This window comes from Homo sapiens, chromosome 10, assembly GCF_000001405.40.
Source record: "Homo sapiens chromosome 10, GRCh38.p14 Primary Assembly".
In the NCBI taxonomy this organism is placed as follows: domain Eukaryota; kingdom Metazoa; phylum Chordata; class Mammalia; order Primates; family Hominidae; genus Homo; species Homo sapiens.
Window position 1 is genome coordinate 88,836,831 of NC_000010.11, and position 18,786 is coordinate 88,855,616.

The window sequence follows — 18,786 nt, forward strand, 5'->3', positions numbered from 1 at the left end:
CGTTAAGACTCAAAGGCAAAGAAGTGAAAGTTTCAAGAAGGAAGACAAAGATCATTGAATGTGATCATTAGCAGCCATGCAGAGGCCAATTTTCATACAGTGATGGGGCTGAAGGAAGAATACAGAGGCCTGAGCACATTGTCTATGAAGAATTAGAGGATGCAATTGGAGAGGAATTGTAGTCAGTTTGGCAGTGAAAAAGCTGTTAGGGAAAGCTAGAGACTTCAAAGAGGGGGGTAGCAGTGTCCAGCCAACGTTCCACACGTTTGTAGGCAAAGTGGTGTCATCAAGTGGTTACAAATCCAGGCTCTGGAAACAAACTCTCTGGGTTCCAATCTCAACTCTGCGACTTAACAGCTATGTTATTTGGACAAGTTACCTAGACTCTTCATGCTAAGTTTCCTTCTGCTTTTGATAATCATGCCTTCTTTATAAGTTTCAGAAAGAATTAAATGTAACTGTGCAGATGAAGCACTTAGCTCAGATCTGAGTCACAGTAAACCCTCAATTAATGTTAGCTACTCTTATAATTATTAAAGCATAAGGAGCCAATGAAGATGGACAGGAGTGGTTATGAGAGGGTAGATAATTGATCAAAGAGAGTGAAGAGATGATAGGATAGAGAGCATTAAGATGGAAACATTAGTCTCCTACATAGAAGGAAAATTCTGGCTCTAAGGCCAAAGCAAGGGAGAAAAGAGAGCTACATGGATGGAAAGAAGTTTAGACTGACTGAAATTTTTGCCAGAAAGTCAGAGGTTTGATCTTCATTCATTATACTACTATATATTTGTCATAAATAAATAGATACATCTAGATAACTAATATGGTTTGGCTGTGTCTCCACCCAAATCTCATCTTGAATTGTAGCTCCTATAATTCCCACATGTCATGGGAGGGACCCAGTGGGAAGTAATTGAATCATAGGGGTGGGTCTTTCCCATGCTGTTCTCATGATAGTGAATAAGTCTCACTAGATCTGATAGTTTTATACAGGGGAGTTCCCCTACACAAGCTCTCTTTTGCCAGCTGCCATGATTGACTTTGCTCCTCATTTGCCTTTTGCCAGATTGTGAGGCCTTCTCAGCCATGAGGAATTGTGAGTCAATTAAACTTCTTCCTTTATAAATTACCCAGTCTTGGGTATATCTTTATTAGCAGCATGAGAACAGACTAATCCAATAACTAAATAAATAGCATTGACATTTAAAAAGATGAATGGATTAATGACAGGAGATGTGATTGAGACAAGGGTAGATGAGACTTTTGAGCATGATGGGGAAGATTTTGGACCATCGTAATTAAAACTGTCTACATGAAATGAATAAAAATATAAAATGGCTTTGAAAACCAGGTTGTAGAAACACAGTAAGAAGATAGAGTTGACTGAGCCTGCCATGTGAGTTTGTGATTTTCTTCAGCAAACCTAGATGAGGGAAGAGTACAGAAAGTGAAGAGGGCAAGAGCAAGGATTAGGAAACATGTCTGTCAGGCAAGAGAAATGAGAGGAGAGTGGTTTACCATTAAATTCAGTCTTAATGGGCATCATATGTAAGCCAGATAAAGACAAATGAACTTGCAAAAAGAGAGAGACAAGCAAATAGAAACACAGAGAAGGATCAGAGCACAGTTCGTACATGTGGTCTATTAGAAAAGTAACCAGTTTAGAAGTTATCAGAGAGATGTTACAGATAAACTCTGTCTAGGGATGAGAAGTCAAGGGTGGCCTTGTTGGGTATCTGATTTGGAGTAGAAACACAGGTCAAGAAGGGAGAATGAAGCTTATGGATGTTGAGGTCACTGAGGATGACCCCGGGGGACAGAAAGAAAGGGGAACTTGTGTTCCAGGGAGGTGGAAGTGGGCCCTGGAATACAGTGGACAGAAGGGAGAATGTAGAGAAAGGGCCATAAGCAGAGATTTCAAGTAAGAAATTGAACCATGGTCAAAAAACAACGGTGACCAAGAAGTAGACTGAATCAGCAGCCACCATAAGAGAAGGTGTCATAATGCCCAGGAAAAGCCAGATTTCAGTGAAGGCACAGAGGAAAACAGACTAGTAGGCGAGGAGGAGATTGAAGAGAAGGAGTATTTACCAGCAGGGTGCATGAGTTCCCATGGGCTAACCTGTGAACAGCGCTCCCTAGAGCCGTGCTCTGGACAACCTGAAAAGCTAAGACACAGGATTGATAGGGCCCACTGACTAACTTTTCTCTTCAGCCTCATCTATCAATCTCCCTTTTGCTCACAACTTTGTGGTGATTTCTGGGGCATTCCAGGTTCATTTCTGTCTTCTGGCCTTTACACTTGCATGTGACCTATATGGCGGGCTTCCTGCTAGGCCAGATCAAGTATCAGCCCATGAATCACCTCCTCAGAGAGGACTTCCCTGACCACTCAGCCTCCCAGCCCAGGAACTTTCTCTCTCTCACATAATCTTGTTTTATCTTTTTAAATTGCACTAATTGGTATTGAAATGGGGTGTAATGTGCCCAAGTTCCTAGAAAGTGAGGTATCTATGACTTTTACCTGGTTTTTAAAGTGCCCCTCAGTGGGCCAACTGTGTATAAACCACTGCTGTTCTGCAAGCTCTCCCATCTCTGGTCAGGTCAATTTCCTCACTTCTATGTTTGGGCTACTGGCTTGCCATCCTTATCTTTTAAATTGTGCTATCTATTCTTCAAGGCCCATCTCATGGTTCATCTCCAAGAAATCTCTTTCATCTTTCCTACCTGCAGCAGGAAATATACAGAACCTCAAGCAGCTCATTGGCCTTAAATGAGCTAGTGGGTTAAATGTAGTCTCCTTAACTAGACTGTAACCCTCCTGAAGTTAGGCTTCCATAAGGTCAAGCACCCAGAACATGGATAAAAGTCATTTGTTGGTTGACACATGGATTCATCCGATCTGGCTGGGAAGTGAGGCTAGGAAAGGGGTTGATGTTTAGAAGGTAATCGATCATGTAAGGACCAGGACAATATTTCGCCTCAGTGGTTCTCAACCTTGGCTAAATATTGCAATCATGTTTGCACCAACTTAATGTTTAAAACACGACCCAGGCCCCACTATTGACCAGTTAAATAAGAATCTGTAAGAATAGGATTGGGGCATTAGTGCTCTTTAAATTTCCCTGGTGATTCTGATGCACAGTGAGGGTTGAGAATCTCTGCAAAGGTAAAAGAAACAAGCCCCCCATAATGGAAGTAAAAATTTAATGTAACATTGCAGCTTTTAAACTCACATTAGCTAAGGAGCATTCAAAACTCTGGAATAATGGAACATTAGGAAAAATTTTTTGTGTCCTTTTGCCTTCCCACATGTTTGTCTTTAAAAGGAGTCAAGAATTTGGAGGTAAGGTTTCACTCTGTTCACTTCCATCTTACTTGCCCAGGCACTAAAATTTAAGAAGCGTCCATGGGTAGAATATGACGCATCCGGTATGTTGATGATTAACTAAAATAATCAGCATGTTGATGATTAACTGTATGTATTACTTAATAATATTTTGCACTGCTCTAAGTACAATAGATATCACAGCTGAAAAAATATTTGTTGTTATTTTAATAGTGTAGAAACATCTGAACAACTTGTACCACTATGGATGTCTTTAAAAGCAAAGCTTCCCCCAAATTACCCCCACTTTTTAGTGTTGTTTTCCCTAAAGTATAATGGAGCTTCTGTAATTCCCAATCTAAGGAAAGACTGTGTAGAACTTTGCCTGTGGCTCAGAGGAATTGGTTCACTGTTTATTAGCCATCTCCATGCTACAAGCTCCCCTCACTTAAAATGTTCCATGAAAACTTCTGAGAAGGATTTGTAGGTTTTGGAGCAAAATGATTCCGGTAAAGAGCCTTGTGATTCACGAAATGTCTTCTCAGAAAAGGAAGGAAGATGTTTTTCTTTCTCTTCAAGTTAAGAAACCTTGGAGAATGATAATAAAAACCTATTGGGTTTAATTTGATTTCTACAATTAATCCCAAGCCTTTGTTTCTGATAACTCACTCTTCACATACTGTATTTTATAAATTCCTTAGGAAATGTCTTCTTTCAGACAAATAAAAAAGTCGCAATAATTTTTTAAAGGCTGTTCTAGGCCCACTCCGTCTCTGTGTAACATGGAGGAAGGTCCCACCACTGGCTGGAACGTGTAGAGAAGTCATAGTTCCTCATGAACGATAGCAGAAGGGGAAATAGAAGCAGGGCACATATTGATCTATGTTTTCTACTCTTTATCCTGAAAGGTCTGTTTGAGAACATGAAGTTATGTTCCTTGCCAGGAAGCTAAAAAAACCCCATTGCCACACTTCTGACTCCAGGACATCAGAAACTCTGAGGTCATGAGGACCAGGGGAAAGCAGAAGATCCTTCACCTCCAGCGAGGAGTAAGGGTGGAGGAAGAGTGGGTTCTGGCTGCTAGAAAATGGCAAATCAGAAGCCCTGATATTCCCCTACTACCTCAGACCACCACAGAGGTATTCACAGAGAAGAGAGAAGGCAGTAGGGTGCCCATAACTAGGTAACATCCAGTTCTACAAAAGGAGGGAGTAAGAGAAAAAAAAAGAAAGAAAGAAAACCTTTGTGGTCTTCTTCCATTTCATTGGTGTAACCACTCCCACCTGGCTAGTTTCAACCTACAAAAGAGAGAGCAACGAACTCAGAGTTGAGCAAAATTGGCTTTCACAAACCAGTTCAAGCTGACTCAAGCCAGCTCCAGCCTGCTCCAATACACCAGCAACAGGAACTGGCATATATTTCCGTTAAAGTAAGTTATAATGGAGACCAGGCTTGAAGAATCTCTGGGCCAGACAAATCCATTTAGACCTCATAAGTGACCTTAACCTTGCTCAATTTGCAAACATAAGCAAAACTTAACTTCAGCTATTTCTTATAAATCCCTATATTAAAGAAAAATGAAACCAAGTTAACTAATCAGAAGCCTAACTTACATAGAGACTTTCCAGCAGAATCGACCAAATAAAGCAACTCTATAACTGCAACCAATCAAATATTTTCTGTGCTTTACTCCCTTTTTCACCCTATAAAAGCCTTCTCCTTGCATTCCCTCCAAAAAGCCTGCAAACCACAGCTGTCCAATTCCTGAATCGGTATTTGCTCAAATAAATTCTTTTGAGCTTAACCGTGCCTCATTTTACCTTTTGACATCCCAAGACTTTTCTACACTGTCTTATTCTTAACGTAGAAGACAGTTTGGCTGGGGAAGGGCCCAGGATTTGAACTCTCAGCAGCCAATGTCTCTAAACATTTAATGGACCTAAACAGGTATTTTAGCACTAAATCTCTAAATGTAAGTCTCCTTTGGGAAAAATAAAAAATAACAGTAAAAAGTTTCACAGTAATAATACCTACTATATACTGAACTCTTTTTATATACCATCTGTAATGCTAAGCACCTTAGCAGCATCTCATTTAACCCTTACAGCAATCTTAGAACAAAAATAATATTATCCCTCTTTACAGATGAGAAAACAGGCTCAGAGCTCTTTATAGCTAGTGAGTAGCATAACTAGAATTTATACTCTGGTCTATCTAACTCCAGAACCAGTGTTTTAACCCATTAAGCCTCTCTCCACTCCTATGCAACTCCATGCACTAATTTATAATAAACTCTACCCACAAAAGTTCCAGGAGTGCCTATAGTCCTTGATTATTTTCTTCAATTCAATTCAACAGACTTTGAGATCTCAATACTTTCCAAGAGAACTGTGCTAGGCTCTAGGGATACAGAGATGATGAAAACCCAGTAGATACTCACAAGAGGTACATAATAGCATTCATCACATTCTGTATCATGTTATACGACAAACCTTCCCAAGCATCTGCAGAGTTAACAAAATTACTAAAATCCCCTTAAATTCAGTTAAAGAATTTGGATTAGAGGACTAGCATGTAAGTGAACCTATAAAAACAACTATAAATGTTTCACATACTTGGAAAAATAATGACAGGAAAAAAATATCAGTAACATTTCACACATTGTAATGTGGTAATAATAGACATAGTGTTATGAATTGTTACTTGCCAATTCTTGCTTACAGGAAATTTTATAGGTCTACTGTGATTTGCAGTTTCAATAATATATTTGCAAATAGTTTTTACTCCATTTTGGATCATACTAATACTGAAGACAATTATTTTTTTCCTCTCTGGTCCTTCATTCAAATGTATGATGACTTTCTGATTTTATGTCCCAGAAATTACCACTACTTCCCAGGTAGGGGCTGACTTCCATTAGCGTGCAGCTCTGAAGCCACTGTTTCTTGACCTCATCTTCATTTACTTTTCTCAAGGAAGGCTTCTCTATAAAAGCTTCTTCTCTTGCCTGCCATCTACTTCACCTCCTTTTCCTAAAATCAACTCTTACCTCCAATTCCTTGTGTCTTGAATATTCTGTGGCGGAAGAAATTCTCATTCACATATATAGAAACGGGAAGTCCTGAGGTTGCTGAAAGACCTCATCCCACCTTGTTTTAAGCATAATATGATCTTGATACCTGCCAAAGGTCAACTGTTGGTAAAGCCACAAAACCATAGTGCTAAAATCCCCTTTCAAATCCTCATCACGCCTAATCTTAAGCATGTTGGGAGAAAACGTTGCCTTTGCAGAAATGCTTGCTTGATTCTGAAGATTCATGTGGTCTGATGGTGCATCAAGGCAATTAGCATCTTTTTCATTTTTCAAAATTGTTTACTTTAGTGGCACCAATTAGCTAAAAAAGGGTGTGGACTTTAGGGTTCCAGGATTAGTTGTATTATTTCAGTGTAACAAGTAAGTTTTTGGTTATTACTATAAAGTCCAATTAAAATAAATTTGACCATTAAAGGCAGGAAAGTTGAGTTGTGGCAAATTAGAAATCAACTAACATCAAGAATTTCCCACAAGGGATTTCATTGGGAGAATTATTTGTGTCTGGCCTTATGACTGCAGTAAATTCTTTGGAGAAAACAAATGTTTTATTCTTACATTCTTGTAACTCTCACATAACCTACTATATTATTTTCTACAAGATAGACACATGTTTATTAAACCGACATTTAGGTCAGGGAAGCTATCATTATACCTTTCTCTTCGGCAACCTGCAAACTGGGAATCATAAAAATCATAACACATAGGACTCTCAAATCCACTTTCATCTAACAAACCCGACATTTTTAAAAATTATAATACTTCAGTAAAGCACAGTAAGAGAATACATAAAGAATGACAAAGCCACTCTTTTAGATCTCTTGAAGGTGAGATTCAAGCAGAGATCCATGATCTGTCTTAAGTGAAGGAATGAGCCAGGTAACTTTCAGGAGGAAGAAACTTCCAGACAAAGGGAATCCAACTGTCAAGCCCTTTGAGACAAGAGCTCGATTTGATGTGTTCTAGGAATAGCAGGAAGGTCAGCATGGCTGCATGAGCAAGGGGAGTGGCGGGAAATTTGGGAAGCAAATGGGACCAAGGAAAATTGGGTCTCGTAGACCATGGTTAGGACTTTGAATTTTATTTTATGTTTGATGGGAAATGTTAGCAGAGTTTTGACAAAATCTACCTTCAGTTTAGAAAGTTAGTGTTAAGACTTCCCAGTTAATTAGTATGTAAACCATTTTGTTGTATTAAATAGTACTTTATGGGTTTCCAAATAGTAAACGCCTCCCATTCTCATCTCTTTTTCAGTTTTCCAAAAAAGGTATTTCTAATCTTAATAACTTTAAGATTAGGGGAGCTATGTATCAAGAGCTGTTTCTATAACATAAGTAAACATTACAGATTTTTAATTAAAGTAATTATTGTTTAGAATCTAAGGAATCTTTATGGTTAAAAGTAAAAGATCCCTTTTATGCCTTCTTATCTCATCTCAGATAATCTAGATTTCCTTTAAAATTACAAGTGGGATTTCCTTAGTTGATTAAAAAAAAGCCACAATTTTTCTAGCTGAAAATTATTTGTTATTTCAATAGATATGCACACATATATGAAATAAAAGCTTATATTGTAGAAGGCATATACAAATAAAATGACTTATTTTTCCCCTTAGAAAACAAGTTTATTCGGGGATTTTTTTCTCTCCCACTTTCTCCTTGATAATAGTGGAGATGAGCTTTGAACCTGTCTTTCTGAGCTCAACAGCTGGCTTCTTAGCTGGCTTCTTAACAATTATACATTCCTGCTGTGGGCTCTTAGACAAGGAGAACTTCTGGGGCACAAGCTGTTTTTGTCTTGTCCTGTCCTCTTACAAAACTTGAGAAACTCACTTCTCCTCACCACTTTTGGTGCTGATCAGCTCACTTCACATACAAAAGTTGAAACTCCCTAAGTTTTCAATGTTGAATAAAGAAAAATGTGTTTCCCCCTCAACCCCAGAAAATCTCCTGTTTGACTAAATGCGTATGTTTCTTGAGTGTTACAAGCTCCAAGGGTGCTCAAAGGAGGTTGTCCTTTAATATTGCCTTCCTTCTCTGGCAAGACCATACCTTCCTACAATGACCTGGTATCCTTTGCTATCTCTACATTCTTTCCATGTCTAAACTCATCCCTTCTCTTGGCGTTAAATACCATGTATATGCAGACAACTCCTAAATTATTATCTCTTGCCCGAGCCTCTCCTTAAAGGTACATTTCCTGTATTCATCTTCCATCCCCACCTAGATGTCTCATGGATATCGCTAAAGTACCATGTCCAAATAGAACCCTGAAATGTGTCTTTCCTTCTGCCCCTCTCTGAGTGTTCCCATCTCATCAGCACCACCATCCACTGGCTGGCCTAAGGCAGAATACTGAGTATCAACTTTAATTTCTTACTTTCCTTCACTGCCAACCTACAAACCAGGAAATCTTTTAGTTAAAAATTTATCTAAAATTCACCCATTAGTCTAATGCAACCATCATTATCACTCCATAAACTACTGTAACAGCTTCCTTCCAAGATCCAGCTTTCCCTCTGGCATCTCTCAAATTTATTCTCCCATGCTACCAGAGTGGCCTTTTTAAACCCTAATGGTCATATTATTCCTCTCTTAAGATCCTTTACCCGCTTTCCATTGTGTTTTGCATAAAATCTAAATTTTTCACCTTGGCCTACAAGACCTGCCTGATCTGGCCCCTGACAAAGTCTTTACAGTGTTAACCACCATCGTCATTATTGCTATTATCACAATCATCTTGATTCAGAACCATTTCAGCTATTTCACCATTGGTTAATAAATGAACAACTGGAGCCTCATTATCAGTGTTAAAAATTTCTTCAATATCAACTTCTTCCAACTTACTGGTGGACTCTGAAGGTACTTTTTTTTGCGTATGTATGGTCAGACATCTTTTTTTTTTCTCATTTGACATACAGAATCATTCAAAGTCACTTTATTTATAATACTTACTGAACATAGTTGCAGGACAGAGGTTATGCCAGGTATGCACAACTGTCTTTAGTTACTGCATTACAAGCATTGGCAACAGCATATACAACATCCTTTATGCGAAACACCCACACCTATGTTCACTGCTGATAACATACTGTTTACGAAAATGTTTTATATTTACACTGATTGATCTAAGGACACCATTCTCACATGGCTAAATTAATAAAGTCACATTTGGGGAAAAGCACATGGAATAAGTATTACTTTTGATGAGAATTTTAGCTGAAGAATAAGCATAAAAGTTGTCAAGGAATAACAAAATCTTGCAGCCTTCATCCAGTCCAGCTTCCCTGCAGTGAGCATGAGCCATTGCTACAAAATGTTGTGAAAACAATCACAAAAGATGTCCCTGGTGACCCATGCCTTTTGTTAGCATGATAATGGACTAGTAAGAAATTTACTCTTTGAAAATAGTGAGAATTCAAGCTTTTGCCTATTACAGCAGGTTTACATTTGTGTGTGCCTGCTGCATTAGCACATCCCAGCGCAATTATCCTGTCCTTGGTATCCTGATTGCCCACAAGGCCTGTCTCATCGGCTGAAGTCAGTGTCTTTCTGAAGCAATAATGCCAAAACAGTGATGTTTCATCAGCACTATAGACTTGATCTAGTGTGAGAATTTTTATCAGTGATGATCTTGGCAAACTCATCAATAAATTTCTCTGCTGCTTTCTGATCAGCAGATGTTTCGTCACTACAAATATTTGAAAATTTAATGCCATGTTTTTTCTTAAATTTATGCCAAAGAACTACGCATATTCGCAGTTCTTTTAAATTTTCAGTTCATCGTGATAGATCTTTTCCTGTTTCATGATCAGCATACCATTAAGTGGCATGTGTTCTTTGTGATACTGATGGATCCACTTTCTCAATACACAATTGGGATCTTCATTTGTAGCTTTGTGGAATGTTTTTTTACATTTTTCATTAACTTCAGCATAGGACTTAAACAGTTTATCCTTCTATTTCTTTGAGTCATATATGGTGGTCATTTCAACACCATACTCTTTTTTTATTGTTACTTTTTTGAGATGGAGACTCACTCTGTTGCCCAGGCTGGAGTGCAGTGATGTGATCTCAGCTCACTACAACCTCTGCCTCCCAGGTTCAAGCAATTTTCCTGCCTCAGCCTCCCAAGTAGCTGGGATTACAGGCACATGCCTCCACACCCAGCTAATTTTTCTGTTTTTAGTAGAGACAGGGTTTCACCTTGTTGGCCAGGCTGGTCTCAAACTCCCAACCTCAGGTGATCCACCTGCCTCAGCTTCCCAAAGTGCTGGAATTACAGGCATGAGCCACTGCGCCTGGCCTCAACACCATACTCTTCTATCAGACATTTTATACCTATACCACTGTCCAATTTATCCAAAAGCTTGACTTTCTGTGTTATAAGTATACATAAATGCTTCCTTTTTTTTTCTTATCACTGTTACCCATAAGTATCTGCAGACCTTTTTGATATTTTCAACAGTATATTTACATCACAGAGTAGAGAAAAAGCAAAACAAAAACAAAATAAAAAAAAACCCCAAAAAACAAAAAAAGACACACACAGAGAAATACACACAAATCTTGGCCCCATGGAGGCAGAGTGGCAAATCTGCTATAGGCTCATTCATCCTGCACAGGTGCCATTTTTTACCCTTTGTGGACTTGCTTTCATGGGAAAAACTGGGTGTTCAAGAAAAAGATATATCACAGCCGAAAGGGGCTGGGAAATTCTTTTTTCTCTTGTTAATTCTGAGTAAACTGTGCATTGTGTACCTGCATTTTGACTGTGACCCATCACATGAGGTCAAGTAGGAAATTTTCTACTTGTTTCATGTTTGTGCTCAAAAATTTGGAGTTTTGGAGCACTTCCACTCAAATTTTCAGATTAGGGATGCCCAACATATATGCGTGTATATATATATATGTATATATGTGTATATATATATGTATATATGTATATATACATATATATATACATATATACACCAGGAACTAGAAGATGCCTGAAACATAGTATGTACTCAATAAATATGGTTGATTAAACAAATGGATGGGTGAATGAATAAATAAATAAAGGTATACACATTTTCAATCCTGGTGTCTTTTCATATGTGAAAGTTATCATTTTCTCTCTGAACTTTTGTGACTTAGCACAACATTTTAATTTGTAAAATTACTTTCAATATACAAGGAAAGAATTAGAAAACCAGTTGGGATGAAAACGCCTGATGCTCTTCTTGCATATGTTGTTGAATACCAAAATCTTGCTAGGAGTTCATACATAAACAAGGTAGATGGAGAGAGCTGGGAAGATTGTGAGAATGCAATTTTTTCCCCATTGTCTCTGCCTAGCCTTTCTCATATCACAGAATGACACGATGTTAAATGTGAAACCAGATCTCATTCAGCTCTCTTGTTTTGTAATATTAAAACTGTGACTCAGAGAGGTTAAATGACTTCCTCTCAAATCCCTTGAAGTTCCTGGCACAATCAGGTCTAAAATATAGGATTGCTTGACTTTCAGTCCAATGGCCATTCAATTAGTCACATCTCTATTCCTGTATTCCCTGACTTCTCCTCCTCAACTGTACCAGCTTTTCCAATAAAACTTGCTTGATCTAAATTGCTCTCCCTAGGCATTGTATATTTCAAGACAATCTTTCTGTTTTTTGAACTATATTTCCTTTTTCTGTAGTAACATCAGCTTCTCTGAAAAACATATCCATTGCCAAAGGATTAATTTTAAGTTTGTGTGTGTGCATGTGCATGTGTGTGTGTGTGTGTGTGTGGGTGTGTGTGCATCCTTTTACTTACAGCCTTATAATGAGAACTTCCCAATGTTTAAAGGAATACATCATTTAAGATATGATTTTCAAGAAACGCTTTTTGGGGCCTGTGTCTGCAACTGAAGAGACCAAAAGTCTGTAAAAGATTCTTTAAGTCTCCTAAGTATTAGTTCCTGAACTCTTTTAAGTTCTCAGCATTTTTCTTCTTTCCGATTTTTGTGCTACTTCACAATGCAACAGTTCTCTGTTGCAAGGTAGCAGTAGAATGTACCTCATTGGACCTGGATTTAGTTTACTCATTCTTTCCACTAAGGGAACAGGGCACCATCCTGGTTAGAACAGTGGCAGAACACCAGAGTGGTTAAGACCAATTCTCTTATGGAGCATGACATATCTGTTGAAATAACAAGTAGTAGAAAAATTTAGTAGTTCAGCAGTGATGTAAGAAGAATCTCTTTGAATGAGTAAACACAGGACTCATCCTAGCCACCAATCTCCAGCCAATAAGCACTTTTCAACTGTGTAACTATGAGCCAGTGACTACCTTTTCCTCAGTTTCTTCATTTGTAAAATAAGGATACTAAAAGTGACTCTTACAAGATTGCTGTATTAAATGAGTTAATACATATATAAAGTGCTTAAAATAGGGCCTAATCTATAAGAAGCCCTAAATACATGTTTGTTGCTATTGTAAATATTATGAACAAATACCTTTGATAAGGGTTTAAATGAATCAGCCTTGTTTAAAAGTCCATCTTACGCAGTTGGAGTTACTTATTCAAAATTAGGGCCTCTCACTGAGCTCTAAGCTTATCCTCTAGTGCAGATTTCAGGACCAGCTCTCTGGGATCCTCCCTCATTCTCTCCTTCTTTCTTAAAAATATATATTGCATAACTATTAGCACTGCAAAGCTCTAAGGAAAAATGATAACCCTATGTCCCCAATCTAGAGGAGCTTCCCGCACTCAAATTGGGGGAAGTTTTTTTTTTTTTTTTGAATAGATTCTTCCAGGCAACATAGGACCAGGGATCCAGCAGGCTTTTTTCTTGTCCTTAATGAGTAGCTCACAATCTTTATCCTTAGGAAACACAGAGCAAATGATATATTACAAATGAGTAGGCTATGTTTAAATATTTAAGAGATTACTATTTAATTTTAAAGAGTCTCAAACTCTTTAAAACTATAGATGAAAGGTCCTACTTCCAACTTTCTACATCAGAATACCTGAGGATGAGACTAGGCTTTTTTTTTTCCTTTTTCCAAATCACATATAATTCCCACATGCAATCTGAAAAAGCAACCAAAATGCAGAATCTTAGGTCCCACCCAGGTCTACAAACTAAGAATCTGCATTTAAACAAGACCTTCAGAAGATCTGTATAGACATTAAAAACGGGAAAGCACTGGCCTGTGGCAGTCTTTCTTTCTCAGGATGGTGGTAAACAGATCACCCCTATGTCAGAACCACCTGGGATGCTCCTTTTAAAAAGTATACTTTTGTATCCTACCATAGACTGAGTGAAACAGACTCTCTGGGTTGGAGTCCCTTGAAACTGCATTTCAAACAAACTTCTCTCCCTGACACTTGGGCAGTCTAAAGTTTGAGAGTTACCAGAGTAGCATTTAAAAGCACTATATGTTTTGTCATTTTCATGTATATGATCCCTTCATGAGGCTAAAATCACTGAGCAAGACATACCTAGAGTTATAAACCAATCAAACACTGCATTTGCACACACGGAGAGATATATACACACATGGCATTAGAAATAACTGCAAATAAACTGTCTTTAATACTAGATCAAAACTATCCAAGAAGGTTCCCCTGAGCATCTGCAATGAAATGCAGATTAACCAGTTAATTGTGTCAGAGGAGAGAGAGAGTAAATTATGTATAATGACATCATTACACCTCTTGTACTCTTGTCTAAACATTCCTTGCTTGTACTTTCTTGAAACATCATTAAAAATCCATTTGATTCTAATAAGTTACTTCCAATACAAGTAAAAGTACCTCAGTATTTATCAGATGTGAAAAGAAAATAATCAAATCATCAAAATATGTTATTATTCCTCTTCTTCATAGTGATAGTCTTTACTAATATTTACTAAAGGTGAATCTCCCTTCAAATACCAAGCTGAAAGGCATTACTCTGGTCATGTGGTTCCATAAAAGAGGCAGTCAATCTTTTGGATATTTAGAAAATCCAATTGAGTACAATTTTCTCTTTTTCTCTGAGTGTTTGTCATGAGAAAAGCACAACTCAAACTCGATTTTGTCCAAATTATCCTTGCAAACATCCAGATACTATGAAATGTGTATTATATTCATCTCAACTTAGATCTAGCTAATATTTTAGAATTACAAAATACTTTGTCTTAAACTATTAAGAATATCAACAAGAATAACACATAGGACTTTATTTTTTCTGACTTAATGCTCCCCCAGGGAGTTGAACAGACAAAACAGAAATATATTAACAGGGATAGAAAATTGCATCTGAAAAGCATGAGTAACTTTTAACATCTTTGGAACTCTGCTTTCAGAAAGGTGATGTACCTCAGAGTATAGGATTCCCATGCTGGTCCTTCACAGGCTTACTTCACCTCTACAGCTCCTTGAATCTTCTGGAGGTATTTCTGATGAATATCAAAATCCTTCCTGGCTGAGAGGAAAGTCCCTAGAAGTCCAAGCTGGTGGCAAGCTCCAGGAGTGCTTTTCTAGCAAACACCTGTCAGTGCTTTTCCAGCAGCTCAGGCAGCAGCACACCTTCCAGAGAGCCCAGCCCAATGAAACAAAGGCACTGGTGTCATGTGTAACGACCCAAGCCTGTATCATCTAATGTTACAACCCTGAGGAGCCGGTTTCTGAGTCATATTTGCTCTGCCAGTGGTAACATGCAGGAAAGAAGGAAGCAAAGTTAAGGGAGGAAGAAAAGTTCTTACATTGGCAGGAAGGACTCACGGTTCAAACCAAGATACTGTATTTCAGACATTTCGTAATCAAAATCTGGTTTTCAGTGGCCATTGAGAAAGGCTAGAGACCAACAAACTTACTTGTGAGAGCCACACGTGTCTGGCAAAGAACTTGAAAAATAATCTTCAAAATTCTCAGCCTAACAAGTAACGCTTTTCCAGCTATTTATGCAGTTTTGTAAACTAATAAATTTACTAACATAATAAATCTTAAGTTGTTTTAAATATTCCAATACTATTCACACATTTAGCCAAATTACTTTATAATATTCAATTTAAAAATCATAAGTCTAAAATCAAATACTCTGTTATGCATTTTAAATTGCATCATCAATTTATTTATCAAACATGCTAGTATGCCCAATCTCTTAAATATTGTAAACATTTTATATGCTATATATGATATCATTCACACATTTTCCTTGAACTGAATACAATCACATCAAACTTTCCCAGAATTGAAACACTCGACCGTCCACACACCCATTATAACCATGGGACCAGCCCAAATGGGCCGTACTTTGTTGATAACAAATGTCAATTTACTCTGTAGATATAACAGAGCCAAAAACTGTAAGTCATTTAGCCCAGGCATGCACAATAAAAATGTTTTTGCCTCTAACAGAACCTAGAACAAATGATCCCTCCCCTGGGAACCAAGAAGACAAGGACATGACGGGAACCTAAATGCAGGACCTCTTTCAGAAGCTAGGGGCTCATTGGCCCAAAAGATCCAGGGCTGAAATCTGCCTCAACATACCTTACCTTTAGTGGTCAAATTTGAAGCCCTTCAATCAGTCCCTGCCAAACCAACATTCCTAAATCCTTTCCCTCACCCTCTAAGCCATACATTTTCTCAGATTCCAAACTGGGGAGGCAGATTTGAGCCCACCTCCTGTCTCCTTGCTGACCTGTCTTGCAATAAAGTTTTTCTTTCCTCAAAACCCAGTGTCCAGATATTGGCTTCTGTGAGCAGGGGGCAGCAAGCCTATTTGCTCAATAATATCATGGAAGAAATAGTTCAACCATCTCAAACCAATTGATGTGATTTTCCCAATCAGTTGAGGCTCCTTAGTGGCCAGAAACTAGTGACCAGGATACTAGGCCTGTGCTTATAAATATTCAGGGAAATTCTTCTTACTCCACTGGTGGATATACTGAGCTATTTTTATAATTATTTCAAAGATTTTATGTTTCACTATGCAGTTGACATCGAGGCCAGCCTCTCTGGAGTTTAAGAATTAGCTAATTCTTCCGTTGGAGGAGAGGGAAGTCTGCAATACCCACTAAAATTGCAGCTGACTTCCTCTTTGGCTTGGTTTGATTTTGTATTTCTGTAGACTCTTAAGACATTTAAGTGTCTTCCCATTGACTTAGAAAAACATTAATGGTATATCCATTGGGTACTTCACTCTGTTATGCAATATTTTGTAACCTCTGGTAGCCTCTTTTGTAACCTCTTTCAACTAATTTGTGTGGACAGAACTCTTCACTGTCATTGCTTCTCTCCTAAGGTTGCTGCTAGCTTTCTTCTTCAAGCTCTTTCCTCCCTGACTGAGCTCTAAATGTTTCTTTAACTTTCAATCAGGATCAAAACTCATTTTATTAGATTCTGCATCTCTTGACAACATCTGGTTCTAAAGGAACAGTACTCATTATAATTGCAAATGATGTAGGGTTAGCTCAAAAAACAAACCAATGAAAAAAGCAGTTGACTCATTGTTATTTGTAAAACACTTGGATTTAACTCTAGGCCATTGGGTCTCAACCAGGGGTTATCTCGCCCCCAGATAGACTGCAGATTTAGCAACGAAAAAGATAAGATGTTCAGTTAAATTTGAATTTCAGATAAATTTCTGAAATGTCATATGGGACATACATACACTAAAAAATTATGTTGCTTAATGGAGAACGTCGTTTTATTGGAAACTAAAGACATTTGGCAATGTCTGGAGACATTTTTGGTGGTCACAACTAGGAGTGGGAGCATGGTACTCTAATGTGGGGAGCAGAGGCCAGGGAAGCTGCTAATCATCCTACAGTGCACAGGACAGCCTCTCAGAGCAAAGAATTACCCAGCTCAGAAGAGTGCTAATGTAGAGAAACTCTAGTCTAAGCCAAAAGGAGAATTAAAGGTGAAGGAAGAGGACTTCGTAAACTATAGTGTCAAATTGGAATACGGAGGCATATTGTCAGAATGAAGTTGGATAAACAGATATATTTTTAAGTGTTTAGGGTTCTTCCTCTGGCAATTTTGAGCCTATAATTACAAAGACAGGTAAAGAAAAGAAGTTCCAGAAAACAGCTTTCACAGGTAAATGTCTTCTGTCAAGAAATAACACTGTCAAGAAGACAAATGTCTTCTGTCAAGAAATAAACCTAGTGTTTAATCTGAATTAAACACTAGGGACTTAAAATTAGTGGCATCCTTTGATCCTGGCTGTAAATGCAGCCAACCTCCACTGACCAGCAGCCAACTGTCTGTGAGAGATGAGTCTCTTGTAAGGTGTATCCCAAAGACTTCCCCCCAAGAGGGGTTCAGTAGAGCATAACAAAGAAGTATAGTCCACAGAAACTCAGTTTTACGCTGATATCTTAATCCTTCAACATTATCTAACATTGTCCAACATTGACATTAGCAGTGGAAGTTATCTGAGTCACACGGCACCAAAATATGTCACCAGCCAGCAGTGAATCTGTGTGGGTTTGCAGCAAACTCAATTCTTGCCTTCTCAGAAGAAAGAATTCAACTGGGGGCCATAGGATGGAAGAAGAGACCAAGGCAAGTTTTAGAGCAGGAGCGACAGTTTATTAAAAAGCTTTAGAGCAGGAATAAACAAAGTAAAGTACATTTGGAAGAGGACCAAGTGGGCAACTTGAAAGACAAGTGTGCAGTTTGACTTTTGACTCGGGGTTTTTATACGTTGGCATACTTCCAGGGTCCTGCATTCCTTCTCCCCTGATTCTGCCCTTTGGTGGGCTGTCCACATGTGCAGTGGCCCACCAGGATTTGGGAGGGGAGCATGCACAGTGTGTTTACTGGAGTTGTATGCATGCTTACTTGAAGCACTCTTCTCTTACCAGCTGAATGTCCCTAGAAGGTAATATACCAGTTAAACTCTGCCATTCTGCCTCTTAATGTGCATGCTTGAACCCACTCGCCCAACTCCTGAGATCTTATCAGGAAGCTGCTGATCACCAGTTTCAAGTTTTTTCTGTCTATTGGGAGACTGCCTTTCCCTGGCACTGGCTGTGACCAATTGTTATTTTATATATATATATATATATATATATATATATATAATTTTTTTTTTTTTGAGATGGAGTCTTGCTCTGTTGCCCAGGCTGGAGTGCAGTGGTACAATCACAGCTCATTACAACCTCCACCTCCCAGGTTCAAGCGATTCTCCTGCCTCAGCTTCCAGAGTCGCTGGGATTACAGACACCTGCCACCTGTATTTTTGTATTTTTAGTAGAGACGGGGTTTCACCATGTTGGCCAGGCTGGTCTCAAACTCCTGACCTGAGGTGATCTGCCCACCTCGACCTCCTAAAGTGCTGGAATTGCAAGCATGAGCCACCACGCCTGGCCCTCAACTATTATTTTAGAGAGAC

The 18,786-nt window shown here is 38.5% G+C and overlaps 1 protein-coding gene across 1 annotated transcript in view; it reads right to left on the bottom strand.

The window, feature by feature from the left end:
* ANKRD22 (ankyrin repeat domain 22) overlaps positions 1–15,014 on the bottom strand; it is a 31,949-nt gene extending 16,935 nt beyond the window's left edge. Inside the window, exon 1 of the mRNA NM_144590.3 lies at positions 14,757–15,014. Coding sequence (NP_653191.2) covers positions 14,757–14,777 — 21 coding nt within the window. The 5' untranslated portion in view covers positions 14,778–15,014. The remainder of the gene's footprint in view (positions 1–14,756) is intronic.
* Positions 15,015–18,786: the final 3,772 nt, after the last annotated feature.